The 21,424-nt window shown below is 35.8% G+C and overlaps 1 protein-coding gene and 1 long non-coding RNA gene across 19 annotated transcripts in view; one reads left to right on the plus strand and one right to left on the minus strand.

The window, feature by feature from the left end:
* The window catches only part of ST7 (suppression of tumorigenicity 7), a 276,676-nt gene that overhangs the window by 162,546 nt on the left and 92,706 nt on the right, over positions 1–21,424 (plus strand). For 9 of the 17 annotated variants that reach the window (NR_161420.1, NR_161422.1, NR_161418.1 and 6 more), the window contains 6 exons: positions 3,515–3,674; positions 13,747–13,801; positions 14,445–14,560; positions 15,839–15,914; positions 18,078–18,146; positions 20,035–20,189. Coding sequence is in view for 11 of the 17 variants with exons in the window: in NM_001369598.1 (NP_001356527.1) it covers positions 3,515–3,674; positions 13,747–13,801; positions 14,445–14,560; positions 15,839–15,914; positions 18,078–18,146; positions 20,035–20,189 (631 nt within the window). In the remaining 6 variants the exon portion in view is untranslated. The remainder of the gene's footprint in view (positions 1–3,514; positions 3,675–13,746; positions 13,802–14,444; positions 14,561–15,838; positions 15,915–18,077; positions 18,147–20,034; positions 20,190–21,424) is intronic. The other 8 variants (NR_161421.1, NR_161423.1, NR_161419.1 and 5 more) reach the window with 1 other exon arrangement.
* ST7-AS2 (ST7 antisense RNA 2) overlaps positions 1–21,424 on the minus strand; it is a 73,521-nt gene that overhangs the window by 43,975 nt on the left and 8,122 nt on the right. Inside the window, exons 3-5 of one of the 2 annotated variants that reach the window (NR_002331.3) lie at positions 14,482–14,641; positions 12,251–12,297; positions 1,855–1,937 (exon numbers count right to left, since the gene is read on the minus strand). This is a non-coding gene — a long non-coding RNA (ST7 antisense RNA 2). Of the gene's footprint in view, positions 1–1,854; positions 1,938–2,304; positions 2,408–12,250; positions 12,298–14,481; positions 14,642–21,424 lie in introns of both variants that reach the window. The other variant, NR_109981.1, reaches the window with a different exon arrangement.

A 21,424-nucleotide genomic window follows, 5' to 3' on the forward strand; every position in this document is an offset into this window, starting at 1 on the left:
GCCCAGCTATCTAGTTTAAAGGGGTTTTGCCTTTAAACTAAATGGTAAGGTTCCTGTTGACTTCCTAAATCCCAAACCAGCTTGATACTTTTTAGTTCTCGTCTTACTTGACCCTCTCAGGGGCAGAGCATCAACAGGAAAAAAGCGCAGGAGAGGTTAAGTTTTTAAGACTATGAAATGCATATTTATATTTTAATTTTTTGGTTGTCAGACCAAAAACTGTTTTGTTCCACTGTGACAGGCCCACTGAGCTACTAGCATGTCCAAGAAGTGCTTTTAAAATCTAAATTTGTTTATGAGAGCTTTGCTGTTTACATTGTAGGTATGCACCAGGGAAAAGAATTCAAAGTGACACCAAATATGTGCGCATTAAATAACACCATCTGCCCATTTGGATCTGTGCAGCTCTTTTAAAATACTGTGAGGTGCTCGCCCAAAGCCTGACATATTTCAGGATAAGGGAAAGATTTTTATGTTAAGACCCTACATGAAGACACTGTTTGAAGTTTCAGAAGGCTTTGAGTTCTTCCCTTCTTTCTTTCCTAGTTGTTCATTCAATATTTATTAGAAGGACGGGGTCCTTTTTTATTCTAGTGCCCCCTGTACACAGCAGAGGTCCATCTTTATACTTATGTTCTCTGTACACAGCAGGGGCTGTACTATTGCAGTGATATGACAGACCTGAGAAGGCCCTCCTTTTCCTCCCCAAGCAGCTGCATGAATAACCCAGTCTTTACTGAGGTCTATTATTACTGCATTAGAAATACTGGGTAGAAGGTCTATCACCTATTACAAAGCAAATGTCCAGTTAATATGAGTCATTTTTTACCTTAGGATGAATAATCTGGTCCCATTTGATAGACTACTACTTCTGAATTGGTTTTTATAACTAGGAAAGCACAGAGGGACAGTGTCAGAGGGCACTTGGAAGTAAAGATTTGAAAAAAGGAATGATAGGCTACATCTGTCTGTTTATACGAAGCAAGGGAGCTATAAAGTCTTGATAGAGGGCCTTGGTAAGATAGTGACAGAGAGTAGGGGCTTTAGGCTAAGTGACTATTTAATTAGCTCTGTGACTTTGGTCAGGTCATTGTAACTTGATGGGTAGTTCTCATTCTGCATCTGTAAGTGGACTCTACATAGTCCTTTAAGGTCCTTTTTAGCGCTGACACTTTATGATTCTGCTGGAAGAACTGAGAAATCTGAAGAAACCCAGGGTTTGTGTGTGTGTGATGGGTACAGGCATGCCAGGAGCCTGTGAGAGGTATTATGGATCTGTGACATAGACTTGTAGTGGCAGGGGCTAAGTCTGTAATCCTGGAGCACCGCTTGTGATTGGTGTGGAACATGTAGTGCTGTGTGATGGAATCAATGAACTAAGGACTGGCAGGTGCTCCAGCAGCACAATATAGAAAGCAGAAAAATGACTTGGGGCACAGAATTTTCTGGGTCCTTTGGAGTCTTCTCTTCTAATAAATGCAAAGCCATGAATCTATTGAGGGCCTTGTTGAGTGGTCAGGATTGTACAGTGAGCAGTACCCTTCATCATGATGATTTACAGTACTTTCTACCAACTGTCTAGTAACAGGCAAAATGCTGTAGTAACCTGAATTATAGACTGGCATAAAGTGGGGTGCCTCATGGCAGCATGTGAGGTGTGCTGCCCATGGGAGGGATGTGCATCATTAACATAGTAAATGGCAGCTTTGCTATTACTTTTGAAAACCAACTGCAGCAGGCACCGACTTAGGTGTTTTACATGGGGTTAGTATGAAAATTCAGGACCCTTGAGATAAATAACAAATATGATTTCCACTTACAGTTGAAGAAACCGACGTTCAGATAATAACTCACCTGGGGTTATAGACTCCCTTCTAGATCCATGGTGTGTAAATTTATCATTCCTGAGCTTTCTTCTTTTATGCAAAATCCCATTCCTAGTCATTCCAAATGTTACAGATTAGTCTTGTCCTTTCTTAACTTGATAGTATATTCCCCCGTCTCTGCCCAGAGAAAATACTTGGATGTTTTAACATGTGATAATTCACGATAGGTTGAGCACTTTAAAAATTTGAAAATCTGAAATCTTAAGTGCTCCAAAATCTGAAACTTTTTGAGTGCTGACCTGACACTCAAAGGAAGTGCTCATAGGAGCATTTTGGATTTTGGATTTTTGGATTAGGGATGCTCAGCCAGTGTGATACACATATTCCAAAATCTGAAAATATTCAAAATCCAAAACATTTCTGGTTCCAAGCATTTCATGTAAGGGATACTCAACCTATAGTCAAAAAGAGTAACTACCTGGGATTAAATCAAGGTGTCCTGTTATAGGATTGGAAACATTTCGTTTGATTAATACTTCCTTCTGGTCATTCATAAATGTTCCTTATATCTTTTTAGAAATCTTTAATAGAACAAAACAGGGAAAACATCAGTTTTAAAATTATATCCCAAAGTCCATTCCAGGGTAGATAATCTTGTTTTTATGGAATAAGTAAGGGTAAAGGTAATTCTATGTTAATTGCACATTTTATGTTATAAAAATGTAGCTATCCTATGAGACTCTGGGATATGATTGATTCTTAAATTTCTTCTGTGGAATGATTTGTGACTGCCTAAGGAAACCCCCAGTCAGGGAGGAGAGAAAAAGATGTGGGGGAGAACCGCTTTGAGCAGTGGTAGGAAGTGTTCACTGTAGAGAGGCAGAGATCCCAGGTAAGAAGGGTTGGGGGAGGTCACTTGCTTTTCCAGTGCTTAGGAGGTCCTGACTTCAGTCTAATCATGTAAGCATCATTGTTCTTTCATTACTGAAAGTTACTTCTTTTCCCTTTTGTAATTCACAGTACATAACAATTAGTAGGCTTGTGAACTAGGAAACATTAATGGTGTACAACAGATGCTTGTGTTTATAGAGCACTTCTCTGCAAGTGGAATAATGCTGAACCTCAGTGGCTGGGTGCTATCCATGTGGGAAACGGGATACAGCTCATTCTTTTGTTCTGTAAAACCAGTATTTCCTTAAGGAGGTCTTACCAAGCACCCCCACTCCTTCCTGCCCCGCCCCTACCCCGATTTTGCTCTTAAGCATTTTACAGAGGTATGGTTTTTATCAGAATATAAAGTGCAAAGAACTGGAATATTTCATAAGCCGTATTTCAAAAACTGACTTATTTATATACATTTCTGGAATTGTCTTTCAGCTATGGTGATTTTGTTATTTGAATATTATATATAAATTTGGAGAAAAATTATATTGAGCAGTTCTTAACAGTGTTCTTTTATCCATGATTGATGTTATAGTTTTTTGAAACCAGTATTAAGCAGAGAAAACCACACTGAGAATTTTAAATGTTATTATTAAATTTACTAAAATCTAATTTTTAGAATAAACAGTTTTTGAAATAAAATATACTTAAGGTGGAATTAGTAAATGTAACATGTTTTATGGGCATGTGTACAGAAGTCGTAAATGATAACAGTGACCATAAACACGCTTATTTTTCTGTTCTAGATATTTGAATGGTGGTATTTTCGCAAATACGGAACTTCATTCATTGAACAAGTCTCAGTAAGCCACTTGCGCCCCCTTCTGGGAGGGGTTGACAACAACTCTTCCAACAATTCTAATTCCAGTAACGGGGACTCAGATTCCAATAGGCAAAGTGTCTCAGGTATGGAATTTCCTTCAGTTTGCAATATTATTTGCTTACTGTTACTAAATTATTATTGTTACTCATACTAAGAGATTAAGAATGTTGTTATTTAAACATTAGGCTTCAGAGAAAAATGCAGATCATTTTCCCATGGAGTTGACAACCTGTATCAGAGAGGGAGGGTATAAACATCCTAGGGAAAGGAAATGCTTATCTTATTAATTTTACCCTCCTTTTTTTTTTTATGTGAGAGTCTTGCTCTGTCACCCAGGCTGGAGTGCAGTGGCATGATCTTGGCTCACTGCAGTCTTCACCTCTTATGCTCGGGTGATCCTCCTACCTCTCAGCCTAGCAAGTAGCTGAGACCACAGGTGTGCACCACCATGCCTGGCTAATTTTTGTATCTTTTGTAGAGTGGGCTTTCGCTATGTTGTCTAGACTGGTCTCAAACTCCTGGGCTCAAGTAATCTGCCCGCCTTGGCCTCCCAAAGTGCTGGGACTACGGGTGTGAGCCACTGTGCCGAGCTAATGTTATTTTTTCCCATTTGACTTAACCAATGGTCATTTAGGTCAGTGTTCCCAACCTGATGCTATAGCTTCCTTGTCCATAGTTTCTCAGACCACAGTGAATAGATTCATTTTCTTCTATGATAATTGCAGAATCTTGTGTCTAACTAGATCTGATCACATCACTCCTCTGCTTAAAAGGTATCATTGGTTCCCATTCCACTGAAGATAAGGCCCAGGTTCCAGATTCCTTAGCACAGCATGAGCTGCTTGGCAACTTTGGCTTCTGTCACAATCCAGTCCCTTTCCCATATGTCCTGTTTTCTAGTCACATGAAGCCAGTTTTTATTTCTTGAACATGCCATGTTTCTCATGACGCTCTGCCTACAAGTCTCCCTTTTCCCTTATTCATCCATCCAAATCACTATCCAAATCAAATGTCACCTCCTGGGAAGCCTTCTCTGATAGTCTGTACACTATCTCTCTACTTCTGTTAATCTTTAATATTTTTACCTTTAGCAACACATCAAATTACATTGTAATTTTTAAGGTATGGCTTTATTGTAGTATCTCTAGCATCTTGCAGTGTCTACTATTTCTTTGAAACAAAGCTGCTGTTACAGCACTAAGAATAGCATCAACATTTATATAAAGAATAAGGCTTAATCAAGGCATCCACTAAGAGAGACAGCAAAATAACAGGGACAATGGGAAGGGTATGAACTCTTCATTGCATTGAGAAATGATATCAAGAGATTTAGATCAAGTAGAGAGAGAAGGGAAACTTCAATGAAAATATAAATGTATTCACTATAAAAAATGATCTCTAATGAGGATGGTTTCTGTTTTCAATTTGTTAATTTTCTACAATGTTCTTTGTCATTCAAAGGCTATAGTGACTCAAGTCAGACAAGAGCACAATTAATCTGTGGGATATTCACAGCACCTGCAAAGTGGTAGCAGTTATCCACCACTGCTCATGCCTGGTGACTGAATGATCAAGATTCCTCATTAGAATAATAAACAGCATTTATTATACTAGCTGGATAAAGTAATGTTTTGCTTTGGTGAGGTCTCTTTTCCTTTCAGAGAGTGGATGAGTTTACAAAGTCTCAGACAATTTTGTTACCTGGCTGAGCAATGCCATCTTTTATATGTGTACCCTTTAGGATAAAATAAATTGTGCCAAGAGGTGTCCAGTACTACTCATAGCTGGCTGGCAGAGTCTATTAAAAGAGTATTGACTTAAAATCTGGAACAAAATTTATGTATACACTAATCCTTGATAATTATAACCTGGTTAGACAGTTATGAAATGTGGATGGGTTATTCTAGAGAGGAAGAAAAAAACCTAATGTGGCTTTTTAAATTTCTTCTTTATCCTTCATGTTTTAGAACTGGTGGCTCTCTCCTTAAAGGGGCAAACTACTTTTCCCAGCTTAGGTCAGGATCTCCTCCTTTGTTTTCCTTAGATTTGTATGTTTTCCTCATGCAACCAGAGCACTTACCACTTTGTCTCCTTCAATAGACAGAGTTTTCCATGGGGATAAGAACTTTGCCTTTAAAAAAATCATATTCTTAAAAACCTATACAAGACCAGGTTCATAAGAAGTACTTAGAAAATGTTTACTGAGGTGACAAAGAGACTGAGCTAGGAAATTCTTCCCACCTGTTTTATAAGAGGAGAAAGTACAGGCCTTGCATGCACTCATGCATTGATTCATTGAGTTTCAAAGAAATAGGATGCTACAAGAAGCTAGAAATAAAGCCGTGCCTTAAAAATTATAATGCAATTTTGTAAGTGTTGCTAAAGGTAAAAATATTAAAGATTAATGGAAGTAGAGAGATAGTGTACAGACTATCAGAGAAGGCTTCCCAGGAGGTGACATTTGATTTGGATAGTGATTTGGATGGATGAATAAGGGAAAAGGGAGACTTGTAGGCAGAGCATCATGAGAAACATGGCATGTTCGAGAAATAAAAATTGGCTTCATGTGACTAGAAAACAGGACATATGGGAAAGGGACTGGATTGTGACAGAAGCCAAAGTTGCCAAGTAGCTCATGCTGTGCTAAGGAATCTGGAACCTGGGCCTTATCTTCAGTGGAATGGGAACCAATGATACTTTTTAAACAGAGGAGTGATGTGATCAGATCTAGTTAGACACAAGGTTCTGCAATTATCATGGAAGAAATGAATTCATTCACTGAGGATAACCTGTGGAAATTCTCACTTTTGTTTGTATTTTTTACTTGGCTAAGACTGAGCTTTTGGATATTATTACTAGTTCAATGATAATATTATCTACCAGTATTCATTTAATATTAACATCTACTAGTATTTACTGAGTGCCTACTATGCATTCTATATTTCCATTCATTTCTTGTATAATAGATAACAGCATTTATTTTCTGGTATCATAACAGTGTTCAAATAGTTATCCTTAGAAAAATGGAAATTAACTTGTCTTAAGTATATTTAGGTCTCCATCTGCCCACTTCTTGACATTTGGGCTTCTGATATTTGGCTGACTCAGCTAAACAAACATGTATGCTAGTTTGGAAGTGCCAGATACCACTGGAATAATACCATTGCTGTTTCTGTTTTTTTGTGGTGATTTTGATTTTTGAATAAGAAAAATACTAAAAGGGTACATTAGGTACATTGTCTGAATTTATCTCTACTTTTAATCACTTTCTATTTCATAGTCTCATTTCAAATGCTAAGTATCAAGAAGGTCCAAAGCTGAGGGTTATCAGTGTATTTTCTTAAACTTGTTTACAAATTCCCATTGCCTTCATAATAATAAAATGACTATTGCCTTAATAACAGAAGGGTGAATCTATTGATTTTCTTGGAGCATCATAAGATGGCCCTTTGCTGAATTGTACATGAAATATAACATGGCTCACAAAGTCTCATGGATGTTGGCAAAGGCAGTGTAATGGTATTTTATTGATTATTTGAGAAAATCATTGAAAAAAGTAAGAATAAAGGGGAAATATCAGTTATAAACATTGTTCTATATGAAAATTCAGTGTAGCTCTTTCCTTAAGGAATAATTTGTTTTGAATAAAAGCTGAAAAACATGGCCTACCTAAGAACGACTTGGGATGGGGGTGGTGGAGTGAGGAGTGAGAAAGGTTGTTATGGTTACAGGCAGATTGTGCATATATTTTTAAACTTCTGGATTTGTACAAAGTGGCCTGAATGCAGACTTGCTCACAATTTGCAGTGATCTTTATCTGCGGGCCAGTGGAGAAATGTAGTTAATTATACAGTTTCTTACTTCAAACTTCAGATTGTTTGGCTGAAGTTAGCATTTGTGTCCATTCCACTGGTTTTGCTTTATTTGGGAGCTAAACTGCTGTTTTCCTCTCAGATATGCAGTTTCTGATAAACCCTGCTGATATATTCTGCCACATCACCATGTTTCTCACTACCATTTCTTAATTCAGCTTAGTTTATGAGCTGATGATAAATAGGCATTTAAAAGGGCCCAGTAACATTCTGAATTTGAGTTTATAGGAACATCTGTTTGATAATTTGCCTTGTTCTCAAATAAGATGCCATAAAGACAAAGGTTTGCAGTGTTTACCTTCTTCAGGATAATGGGAAAAGTGGAGAGTGCTCTGTCACATGAAAAATATCCCTGCCAAAGTCAAGTTTAAATTCTCTGAGATACTTTAATAGCCTCTTGCATAGAATTGGATCTTTAAACAAACTGGATAGTCACTTGGCTTCCTGTCACGAATCATCTCCTTTTAATCTTCATAAGTATATATGTATATTCCAAATTCTAAATAATTTTAATAATTCTATATAAATGTATATATTCTAAATTCTGAATTAAATTTTATTACATGGCCAGAAGCAATTTAAGTGCTGATTAAATTCAGATCATAAAGAAAAACAATGGCGATGTAGAAATTTAGGTAGAGTAAAAAAAATATATTCAAGACCTTCGTCGGTCCCAAATTTTCATAGCACTAGAACAAATAATTTTATCGATAAGAAGCCATTTGGTTCCAATAATAATAACTAACACTCTTAGTGTCTGCTATCAGCTTTATATGATATTGTCTCTTGTAATCCTCACAATAGCCCCAGGAAGCAGATATTATTATTATCTCTCTTTTATAGTTAAGGGAGCTGAGGTATAGCAAGGTGAAGTAATCTGTCCAGGGTCACATGGCGGATAACCTGGGTAGTCTTACTTCACAATCCAAGTTCTTAAGCACTTTAAAAAATTGAATTGACCTTGTCCAGAACCTCTATGAGGTGTATAAACCAAGATTAACATAATTATTAAGCAATTAAAATAATAATTTTAGTAAAATTCTGTACTGCAGTGGATGACATTATTTCTGAAGTGACATTAACCTAACTTACTGTAGGAACAGTTCAGTGGCAGGATTGCCAGTGGTTGACAGCTCGGGCTCTGGGGTCAGACAGATGTGGTCCTAATCTTCTGTGTGTGACCTTGGGCAAGTTGTTTAACTTTGCTATGTCTTAGTATCTTAATCTGCAAACATGGGAATAGCAGTAATGTCTACTGCATAAAGTCATTTCAGCATTAAATGAGGTCATGTGGAAATGTCAGGTCAGAGGACAGCCATTTGGCAGTGTGCCCAGATGAGCTGATTTCTCTACAAATACGACTGTGGAGAATGGCAGTCACTTGGAGGTATGGCTTTGTGGTCAGCCGGGCTTACTCACTAGCTGAGTGACTCTTTATATCCAGGCCATTCAGTGCTTTCATTTCAAATATATCCCTCAGCAAAACTGCAAAATGCTACATGTCAAGGACCTTTCGGGCTGCTCTCTAATAGTCTTAATGAGGGTAAACTCACCAAAATCTAATGGATGTGTTGAAAGTGATTATCTTAGCCAGTGTTTTTCACATCTTTTTAAAATCCTTTGACACTAAAATTTGTGCTCTAGTACAAATTAGGTCTCCAGTTAAATGATGATAATACCTAAAATAGTTTTAGTAGCTAGTGAACACTTACTTAGTAAAGTTATTTCATAATTTCCACATTATTTGGTAGGGTTGGTTGACTTAGGTGAAAAATGACCAATGAGAAGTGCATGACAGATGCTGTTACAGATTTAACCATCTCGACAGTATTCTTGAAGAAAGTGGTACATTATCTTGAATAGGAGGCCAAAATAATGGTCTTAAAATTCACATTTACTTATATCTTTTGTTATTTCATAAAGAATTTGAGATAGTAACATATTTGTTGAATTGAAAGCTACCTACATATTTTTGTGCCTTTACTTCTAATCATTGTTTCAAAATAACATTTTGAAGTTATGAAACAGTTAAAGCTTAATTATTTAAGAATATGGATATTTTTACTAATAATGATTGCTTTAAATTGATCTGAATAATGTAGAGAATTGGGTATTCATTTCTGAGATATCAAAGCTAATAAACATATGCACAATCACTTGTCAGAAATTGACTGGCTTGGGGTTAATTTTATAATACAAGCCAATGAAACTTTAGCTAGCACCCTTTTCTGTTGTACTTTGAAACTAAAGTGTTTAAAAGTGTTAAAAAGTTCCTAATGTTTTTCCAGGGGAGTTTTTAAAAATTGTTTCTTTAGTGAAAAATCTAACTGATGGATTCACAATATTTCCAAAATATGATGTTGCAGGGTTTAACAGGTTTGTTGCATGTAATGGATAAGAGTCGGGCAGTCTGGACACCAGGCCTTAATCTCATTTACCATAGACCTTAGGGAAATTAGCTTTTCTGTACTTTTTACTTATGTAAAAAGGGTGTAATATATACCCCTAACTAATGTATGTAAGGAATGTAGATAAATCGAGCTTTAAGCCCCTTTACAGAAAGGATCCATGAAAATCAAGCTCATAGCAACAACAAAAGTTGCTGCTACTACTGTTTGTAATAACATTGTCATGCTTATCCATACTTTAGATTCTGGGAAGATGTGGTAACTTTTTAGTATAAGAAACCCTTCTGGGCCTTGAATTAGCAATTTATAATTTTTGAAGTCCCCATGACTAGGGATTTTCTATCTTTTTTTTAATTTTAGAAAAAAGTTTTCAGAGTTAAATTGGGTGTAGAATAATATTTTCTTTCTGTGTGATTAAAAGCTCTGTGACTATAGAGCCTTTTTTTTGTTTGTTTTATGAGAATTGAGTTCTCTTCTCTTGAGTATTGTGACAAAGGGAAAAGTCTGTGGTTCTCTCAGAATATTTATTCCCTCTGTAGAGCTTCTTCAGGTGGGTGCCAGTTAGTTCAATACCCTTTTCACTTTTCTGCCAAGGCTAAATGTTCCTCTAAGACATAAGCTATTATCTTTTTTTGTAACCCATGGCCTAATTGAGAGATTAATGCATAATTACCCACTCAATACATGTTTAAACCACACAGTCTTATGAGTGATGGGGTGGGCATTGCAGAAGAGTAGAAGAGTATGAAAAGACATGAAATAAATAAGTATGATTGTGATGGAAGGTTTTAGTAGGGAATAGTGAGAGGGAGGGCTGAAAAAAAAGGATTAGAGCTTGCTTTTAGAAGTACTTAGCTGTAGATAGTAAACATTATTCTTTAGGTTCTTTGTCTCTCACAAAGAAGCTTGTAATGATCTCATTATGACAAAGTAGGGAATCTCTTCCGCAGACTTTGGGAACTAAGCAAGTGCTATTCAATATTTGCTGCTGCCCTTTTTCTTGAATTTCATTCTTGCATGTGTGCTAAGGATGGAACATTTCTGTCAGCACTTGTGAGTAGAGACTGCACTGTGAATTGCTGCATATGGAACTATAGAGAGCATGTTTGTTGTATCAAGGGTATATTTTTAACTATATTATTATTGATATTAGCAAGTTCATGATGAAGTCCCAATCAACTTCTAGTGCATCTTGAGGGCATTAAAATTGTTGATGTTAATGGAGAATGGAAAATTCCTTTTTGGAGGTAAAATTTTAAATCTGATTTGAAATAAGGAATTTATTCCTTAAAGGAACACATAAGAAACTCTTACCCTCTAGAGATCTAAGTACTTCCTGACTTAAATCTTCATATTCTAATATGCTTGGCATTTACATCCTTTGTCTCTATCACTAAACCATCACATAGCCTGATATTTATGAGGTATGTTACCTAGAGTGATTCTAGATTGAGTTTTTGCAGACAAGATAAGATTATGGAACAGAGGGACAAAGAAGAAATTAACATAGCTGTGGCCTAATTTTAAAGCACAACTTTGACATGTGCTCATGTGTGACCTCTAGGTTGCTTGTTTCTTAAAATAAAAATATACCTGTCTTGCACCTTCAATTTAAAGGGCATAACTAATGAAGACATTTCTTAGATACTTCTTCATTACATGTTTTATTCTCACTTAGAACAGTTTACATCTGTTACAATTACTTAGATCCTTTTTTCTAAGTTTTAGGGATAGTTAAACTGAATGCAGCACACATATATGACACCAATGTTAACACAGATTTCTTTTTAAGCTCAGTTCTCTAATGGAAGTCATAAAAGCAATATTTCACAATGTTTGCTGCACCCCCTGCTGGCTGTATTGTGACACTTCTTAAATAAAGAGCATCTTTAGATACTGCTCAGTGAATACTTTAGGTATATACATGATTTATCTTTGGAGTTATTTTTTGTTTAGAAATAATTTCAATTGCATCTGATATATAATAGAGTCGAAATTTTAATTGAAAACAGTTTTCTTTGTGATTTGTCAATTGATGTTTAAACAGTGTTTATCCTTCCAGGTAGTATGATGATGTATTTGTTGGAGACAAAATATTTGCCCTAGCCTTTTTACTAATATTTCAGATGAGATTCTGTGGAGGAGAAGCATCTCCCCAAATGTCCTTGTTTTATAGTAAATAATTCTACCACGAGGATCCTTATCCATAAATCTATATTCATGTTTATTTTGTGCTAGATACAGATCTTGCAATATTCATGAAGCTTTAAGAAGAGCACTTTGAATCTTAAAAGAGATTCTCTGAGCAGGGGTTGGCAGTGGTGAGGTCCAGGTAGTTATAATAGCCATAAGAGCAGGGATTATGGTTATTGAGCTCACCAGTGTGTTTCAAGCCATGATCTGGAGTCAAGGTGTTAGTGATTCCTCTAAGGGGAGAAAAAATAATTACAGGAAGCATAATTTTGTAGTTAATGCCATATGAAGTGACAGCCATCAAATCTCAGTTTCACAAGAACAAAATTCAGAGATGCTAAATTAAGTGGACAAAGATCATTTTCTAAATGGCAAGTTAAGCTAAGTGACAAAAAATTTAGGGCCATTATTTATAAATATTGTGTAAATTTTAAGTGGGATCCTGCCCTAATTTAGAAATAAGTACATCTTCTTTAAATGAAAACACGTATTCCTGTTATGTGTATATCCTTTACTATTTTAACAAATATTTGTTGAGATTACACACATGTTCCCAGAGTGCTTTGTGTTCTCCATTATCACACTGTGTTGAAATTGATGGTTTACTTATTTCCTCCAGTGGGTGCTCAAATTAATGCTCAGTGGATGGATGGATGTTGAATGTACAGGACTGAGGGTAGGATCCTAATGAATCACCACGTGGCCTTCAATGTCCTTTGGATTTCTGCAATAATTGCTCACTTTTTTGTACATATGTTGTTGGATGTGGTTTTTGCTGGTTGCACACGCACATAGATGTTTTGAATACTATTAACTGATTTTTTTATAATAAAATCTTATTCATCCAAAATCTAGTATTCTGAATCAGTAGAAAGTCTTAATCATAGACTGTTTTAAAAGAATTGTAGTTTATTAGTCATATGCTTACCATTATAACACAGTCTTAAAGTTAATGCTTGGCTTTTCTAAGTTAAAGTCCTTTTGTTCTAAATTTCTGTGGTCCTGGTATAATAAAGAGGTATGACCTATTAGGATGTGCTAACATGATGATATTAGTATGATGATTAGTATATGTATCTGTGCAAGTAAATGATATTAAAATGCTTTGAGACAATTTCTTTTAATTGCATTTCTTCCTACAATATGGTAATCTTATTAATTTTCTTATTCCTTTCCTGTAAGGCAAAAGCAAACTGGTAAATTATCATAAAATCACTGTTAGCATGAACCCAAATTAAGACTATAAGGCTGTTTGCATATTATACTCTATAGTTTGTCTTGTCATGTACAACGTTATTATGAGGTATGTTTTAGACTGACAGAAAATAGTTTTACTTCTGCCTATACTTTTATCTATAAGGTTTTAGAAGTAAATTCATAGAATCAGTTTGGACCTCTTGAAATAATTTTAGGAGTTATGAACTAGCTGATTTTGGCATGCATCTTGATTTGGCAAGTGAGGAAACTCAGGCCCAGAGAGATTAGGCAAAACTTTCCAAAGTCCCGGAGCCTGAGCCACATTTTGTGATTAACCACCCAGAGTTTTTCCACATTGCTTCCCATGTAAAGGGTAGTGAATAGAATTATCTTATCAAATGGCAGGAAGGGTGTTTTGCTGAATTAATTAGCTTGTAGTGTCACTGAACTTACGCGTAACATTTTCATATTTCTCTTTGTTGCAGAATGCAAAGTATGGCGAAATCCACTAAATTTATTTAGGGGTGCTGAATACAATCGGTAAGCATTTTGACAGCTTGGGAAACAAATGGGTCTGGTTCAGAGAGCAAAGACAGCAGCAAATGTTTTTGCTGGTTCATTTAGGGGTCATTGTAACAGTCTATGTAGTGCGTCCATTTTTTAATACTATCTTCAAATGTTTTGATTTTTCTGTTTTATAAATATTTTAGCACTAGATTTGGGATAATGTACAAAAATGTGTAGTTTTTAGAGTTTTTGTATTAACAGTTATTCTTTTCAATATATACTATACATTGAAAACATTTTGAAGCTTACCTGGAATATGGTTATAGAGATGTCGCAGAAGTTATGTTGGAATTTAGTTTAGCAAAGTAATTAGGCAAATTAGAATTTTCATAGCTTTAGGAAAGTGTCTATTCATAATATGAATTAGGGAAGGTTTTCATTAGCAAGGGCTAGTAAATTTTAAGACAAAAACACAGGAGAAAATGTTTATTTCTTTTGACTGATATAATTCCTGAAGGGAGAATAAGATGATTTTTAAAAATTTTTTTTATTCATTAGCAAAGCTATTTTAGTATTCAGTTAATGGTCTATATTTCAACGCCTCTGCAGCTTAATATTTTATAGGTCTTGCTTTTCTCTCTCAAAAGTGTCTAATCATCTTATTTCTCCTTTGCAGGTATACTTGGGTGACAGGACGAGAGCCTCTTACTTACTATGACATGAATCTCTCTGCCCAAGACCACCAGACATTCTTTACTTGTGACTCGGACCATCTGCGTCCCGCAGATGCAAGTATGAAAAATCCATACATCCTTCTGAATGGGAGGGCTTTTTGGCTTAAGTGTCAAGATTTCTGCTTTTAGAATATCCACTCTGTAAAACTCCAATGAATAAAATATTAAATTGTTGATTGACTAATAAGAACCCAGAACTCTGATAATTAAGTAAACCTTTATCACAATGAAGTATTTATGTTGAAATGAGTCCCCTCATAATAATTTGAATCATGATTTTTAAAAATATATCGAAGTTGGTTTTATATATTTTAAAGAAATATGAATCTTATATGAAGCTAATGAAGTTCTTGGTTGAGTTAGCATGAAGGCCTTATCTCCTTTATGATATTCAAAGTAGAAATTGGAATTTACTGGATTCAGATGATTAATGAATATATTTTAGTGACTTTTATTTGCCTATTTATAGGTTAACTAGCATCGAATGGGGTCATGGCCTTGGCTATTGGAGTCTAGATGTGTGTTCCATCTGAGAAAATACTTTGTTTAGTGTGTATTTTACATTACTTGAGTTTCAGATAATTCAACTGAAATTTTTTGTTATAAAATTTATTCAAAGTAAATAGGTGAAAAAATGTTTTTGAAAGGGAACCTCTACACACTCTAAAATAATTTATAAAATACAAATTTATAAAATAAATAAGGAGATTGTTACTCCTTTGTAAAATGGTACTCTTTGCTATGGTAGAAACATCATGGTACAGTAAATATTCCCATTGAGCTTCCCACCATATGTTCAGAAACTGCTCTGATGTATAAAAGCTAGGTTTGCAGGTAAATTTGGGATATAAGTACACATGTTAAGCAAAAGCTTAAGCATTTTTTACTGACCCACGCATAATTCTTGAAATGGTTTCAGAATGTTCTAACACCAAGAGTCTGTGTTAAGTGCTTCGGAAAATGACCAATTATGTTGTATCTAAGTGAATGAAAAGGTTGGTAGCAATGTCATCTCAAAATGCATAAAATATATTCTCCAAGAACAAATGACATTAATGTGCAAAAGACACGCAAAATCTCTGTTAGAGTGCCTTTTCTTGATTTCCTTAGCCTGTAGTTTTGTGAGCACAAAAAAGGTTTGCTATCAGCAGTTGAAATACTGTGGAATAGCACATTAATACACTAATATGACTTTGGAGATTTTGGCCAACCCTCTTAGCAATGAAATATGTTCTTGTAATTTAAGCTGACACTCCTAATTTAGCTCTTGTCCTCTACTGAGTCTACCTAATTATATGTATGGATTGACTTGGTGTTTTCTCTTTTTCTTAAATAGTAATGCAGAAAGCCTGGAGAGAGAGAAACCCCCAAGCTAGGATTTCTGCAGCTCATGAAGCCTTGGAGATAAATGAGTAAGTGGGGGAAAATCTTGCTGTTAAAAAGGAAATCTCATCCTTTGCTGAATATATTCAGTTGCCATTGATAGGATACTTAAATTAAACTGCATTTGAACTGGAGGATTATTTGGGGAGTTATTACTCTATTTAAAAAAGTTTTTTTTTTAAATGAAGGACAGCCACCATGTGGAGGTGGTTTTAGTCATTTTATGAATTCAATGGCTTTGCTGTGATCCTAAATTAATTTCTTGAAGGGCTATCCCTAGGATATTGTGAGGATATAAAATAAATACAATTCTTTACATATCTAAAACATTCTGACAGGGAAAATTTTCCAGATGTAGAATGCTCATCTGCACTAGAACATTTTCTAGTAGAACTTCTGCTAGTGGGGAAAACATGATAACAACATAAGGTTTAAAAAAAAAATTTTAGAAAATACTTCAAGATTAAGACAAAGATAAGAGGAAATGCTGTCTTGAGTGTTGTTAAACATTCTGTGGGTTACCAAGGAAGGCTGGGAAATCTCTTCTGGAGATCTCAGAAAATGAGAAAGATTCTTAAAGTTGGAGTCATAAAAACTCAGGGTTGGCAGAGACCTTAAAGGTCACTTAGCTGAACCACCCATCTGGTGCTTGAATCACCTCAACACTATCCTTGCCAAGTGGTCATTGTTAAACTATTTTATGATTTTTCTGAAGAAGGTTACAGAATCTTCTTCAGAGATCTTAGGGAAAAAAAAAAAAGATTGTCGTGAGAGTTGAAAATCCTGCCATTGTAACCAGTTGATCTACGGTTTCTGATTCTGTCATGCAACATATTTATTTTCCAGTTTCTTGTCATCTACAAATTCGATATGCCTGCCTTCTGTGTGTCATCCATATTTCTGAGAAAAATATGAAGGCCAGGAATAGAGCCCTGTGACATGACATAGAAACTACCCTCCAGGTTCATGTCTTCATGAATCACCATCTTTTGTATTGTTCACTCAATTACTAAGCCACCCAGTTACACTGTGACTCAGCTCATATTTCTCCATTTGGATCTTAAGAATGCCAATCGTAGCTGCGGATCTTAAATTTATAGTAAATCTATTACAGTAAATTAAGCTAGCACAATCTGATTTATTTATTCTTAGTGAATATAAGCTGGCTTCTAGTCGTCACTACTTTCTTTTTAAAGTGCTTGGAGACCATTCCTTTAATAATCCATTAGAATATCTTTCCAAATCACTGTGTTCTGTAGTTTGGGAAGTCTGCCTTCTTCCCCTTTTTGAAAATTTATGCTACATTTATCATCTCATCTTCTAGCACCTCTCCATTCTTTGTGATTCCTCAACTATCCACAGAGAGCAATTCCATGGCCTGCCTACAAGGTCTTTCGGTTTCCTGGGATTTGCCCATCCAGTCCAGTAATTCATTTAGAATGGATCAATTATTTGCTATCTTACATCTTTTTACCCATTTTAGAGTTTAATTTCTTCTCCCTTTTTCAGTCTGACAGTCATTCTCCTTGATAGAGAAGCCAGGAACAAAATAGGAGGGAGAGAGTTTTGCTTTTTCTTTATTATCTACTGCTTTTAACAATAAACCTTCCTTGTTTTGATGTTATTATGTTGTTTGTCTTTTTTTTTTACTTATTTGCCTTTGTGACATGGGGACGGTGATAGGGCCTTAAATATAATTTTAAAATAGGGAATAAATGGTTGTCTTTAGTATTTTATTTTGTTTTATTATTATTATTATTATTGTTATTTTTGCAAGCTTCAGCTAATTTGGAATTGTAGCTCTCCTGACATTATTCTTATAAGCTCATTCCACTCTCTTATAGACCATCATTACATGCCCTCTTTCCATCTTTTAAAATATGTCCTTTAAAAATCTGACCTGGGAGAAATCTCTGTGAAGCCGTGTTGGTTACTTAAGTGCCACCCCTCTTTTCTTCCTGAGAGGATCATTTGTGATTGCAGTTACAGTTGAACATTTGGAAGCTGCTCAACCCTCTTAAACCATTTTTCCTTCTGAATCTCATGCCATTGAATCATGCCTCTTTTCTTTGAATTTTTTGAAGTCCACCTTCCCCTCTTTGATTACCCTGAACTCCGAAATGACATAGTGACTCTCTCTGAATGTTCCTATCAATTTTCATTTTACCAACTATTTTTTTCTTCTTGGTCAGAATTAGGTCCAGAGTTGAAGTTCCCCTAATTGCTTCCTCTACCATCTGGGAGATAAAATTGTTACCAAAGTAAGTCAAGAACCTGTTGGGTGCCCTACTTCTAACCAAATGAGACTTCTAGTGGATATCTGGATGGTTGACACCCCCATCACCACACTTTCTTGCTTCTGTATGTGTATTGTGTTGTGACAAGGATGCATCATCTATATCTTCCATCGAGCTGAGCAGTCTGTTCTGTACTCCCCAACCATTAGCACTTCTATTGCTCTCTCCTTTTTCCTTCACTCACAAGCTCTTAGCATGTTTCTATCCCAAACTCATGCGTTTCCACATAGATGTATGTTTCTTGGCCAGTAGTGCTACTCTGCCTCTCCTCCTAAGAATACCATTTGAAATATAAATAAGCAAAGCAAGCAAGCTAGCCCCAACCATTCTTGGGTTCCCAGCCCAACAACTACAATCTTATAGCTAATTCCTCTGATACTGTATCTACCACTCAGTATTACAATCTCAATTTTCACTTCATTACCCTTGCCTCATATTTATATGTTGGCATCTGAAGCCTTAAGCATTTCTTCTGATGCCTGTCCCAGTTATTTTCTCCAGTGAATCACTTGTATAGTTTCAGCATCATTATGGTTCTTTCCAAGTCATGGATGCTGCCATCTGTAGAAATTGGTTTTATAGCTGTTTTTCTGGGCATTTTTCTCCCTACCTCACCACATTGTTTAAAGCCCCATTGATGGTTCCTGCCTGAAATTAGAGAGACTGGCTAAAGACCTTACAGACCCTTCCTAAGGCTAAGATTAACTAGTAGCCCCAGCCCTTACATTAGCTGTGAAGTTCAGCCTCCTTTTCCTAGCTGGCTATTGCAGTTTGTGGACAGTAAAAGTAACATTTGGTTTTACTTTCTGTTTATTTTCTCTCTTGTGGTCTGATGGAAATAAGTAGGGAAATGGCCACAAGTGAGGCAGTGGGGAAGGAGAGTGAAAGGATGGGTGCAGGACCTGCGTGGTCTGTTACAGCCTCACCACTTCCCTATTACATTCCCTTTCTTTGGCAGTGGGTTGTTCCTCATATGCTTTGGAAGGTTTAAATTCACAAGAACTCCCCATGTTCATTAATTATCCTTTTGGCTTCCCACCTAAGAGGGTTGTTGAAAAGATTATATGAGATGATATATGTTAAGTGCCTGGTACAGTGCTTAATATATACTAAGCAACAAGTGGTAGCTATTGTTGTTGAAGGCATGAGATTTAACTTGTTAGCTACTGTGGCTGAGTCAGATTTTGAGTTCTTCAGAAATAACACTACTTGTAGGTTCTTCCAGTGTTCTCTGAAGCAGAAAGTCAGTGCTAACTGTAAAGAGATGTTGAAGCACTGTGTTTTTTTTCAGTGAGTAACTTGATTTAACGAATTTCTTATTCTGAAGAAATCCTTAGATTGAAGATAATCTGTGTTTAGTTAACAGAAGTAAACCTGTATATAGCACCTCTAACTTTGAGTGTTGGAAGGAACTATTTAATAACAGCTGTTATCATCACCATCACTAGCTGACATTTATTGAGCACTTAACCACATGCTGGCTACTGTACTGAGCACTTTACATGCATCACCTTACTTAACCTTCACAACAACACTGTGAACAAAGATTCCATGTTGTTCTCCATCAGGGAGGCAGAGTAAGAACTTGCCCAAAGTGACACACTAATATAAAGGGTGAAGTCCACATGTGAGCCCCATGCTCTTAACACTACGCATCCTACCTCTCAAGCTAAAATACAGATGTTTCTTTTGTACCATTATTTTGTGTCAGCAACTACAAACAGGAGTGCATGAACCAGTTGGCCACTCTGCATGTTTTGGCGTAACTCCTTGCCTTTCTGCATGAGCTCCTACAGTCTATTACCATGTCCTTGGCTTTGTAATTGATGGTGGCTATTATCTGAATGAACAGGTGTGCAACTGCTTATATTCTCTTGGCTGAAGAGGAAGCAACAACCATTGCTGAAGCAGAAAAATTATTTAAGCAGGCCCTGAAGGCTGGAGATGGCTGTTACCGACGCTCTCAGCAGCTACAACATCATGGATCCCAGTATGAAGCCCAACATAGTAAGGTTTCCTGCAGGTTGATGCATTGGGGGATCAGAATTGTAAAAATTATTAATCAGAGCAAATTTTTAGTCCAGTTCAAAATATGATTCTCCTAGACAAGAGAAAATATTGGCTTTTGCTTTGTTTTTATTAATTTTCTTCTTTCCTATAAGTGCAGTTAGTAAATAATTAACTTACAGCTTCATTGCTGTTTATATTCACATTCTCTTTCCTGCCCATAGATTCCTAACCGCAGAAATAAATGGCAGTAACCTTTAATAGTAACCTTTTTTCCTCCTGAGTTCTTACATATTTCTGTTCATCAGTTGCTTCTGCTCACAACTTTAAAACCCAGATGGGAAACAGGATTTAAATTAGCCATAGTGTTAGCAAAGGTTTTATCTTATAGATCTTCTACAACATGGATTGAAATAGGACAATTAAGAATATAAGTTATTGGTGATTGTATCAGCATTTATCTCTTACATAAGAAACATTGGTATTGGCTTCCAGAGAGAAAGAGCCATGAGCTCCTAGTTATTTATCTTTTTTATATTAAAATAATGCCTTTTTAAACTCCCCAAAAAACGCCTTTTTAAATTTAAGATAACTCTTTAAAATCTGAGACCTTTCACTTCAGTATACTAAACTGAAAGCCAATGACATTTCGTGGGGGAACAGTATAGAAACAAAACAACGAAATCATTTCTGGAATTCCCTGAGCCCCTCGACTCATCAGTTTGTTTGTTGTTGAAGCAGAAATTTAGCAGTCCTTGTGGTAAGAGAGTTAAGTATTTCCATGGTCCAACCAAAATTTGAGAGTATTTCCATGGTCCAACCAAAATTCACAAAGTTATTTTGTTTCTCACTTAGTTTCTCCCTCCTGAAACTTAGAGAGTAGGGATGTATCTCCTTCATATTTGAGATTATAAAATTAAATGTTAACGTTAAACTTGGGTTTGGTGTAGAAACTGACTGCATTAGTCCCCATAACTAAGGTGCCAGCAAAATCTTTGCATTATAGCCTGCATATACATGAGTATGTCCTCACATGTACCACATCAATTCCTAAGTTTTTATTTTTATTCTGCAGCATATATATGCTAATAAAGTCTCTAATCACCATCTATGTCTCACTTTTTAATAAAAAAGTATTTTAGTGTAATGCAGTGCATTTTGAAGACATGTAGTAAATGTGTATTTTGTGAACTAAATGGAAATCAATACATAAAATTACATAACCTATAATACAA

The sequence above is a fragment of the Homo sapiens genome, chromosome 7, assembly GCF_000001405.40.
Source record: "Homo sapiens chromosome 7, GRCh38.p14 Primary Assembly".
Taxonomy (NCBI): domain Eukaryota; kingdom Metazoa; phylum Chordata; class Mammalia; order Primates; family Hominidae; genus Homo; species Homo sapiens.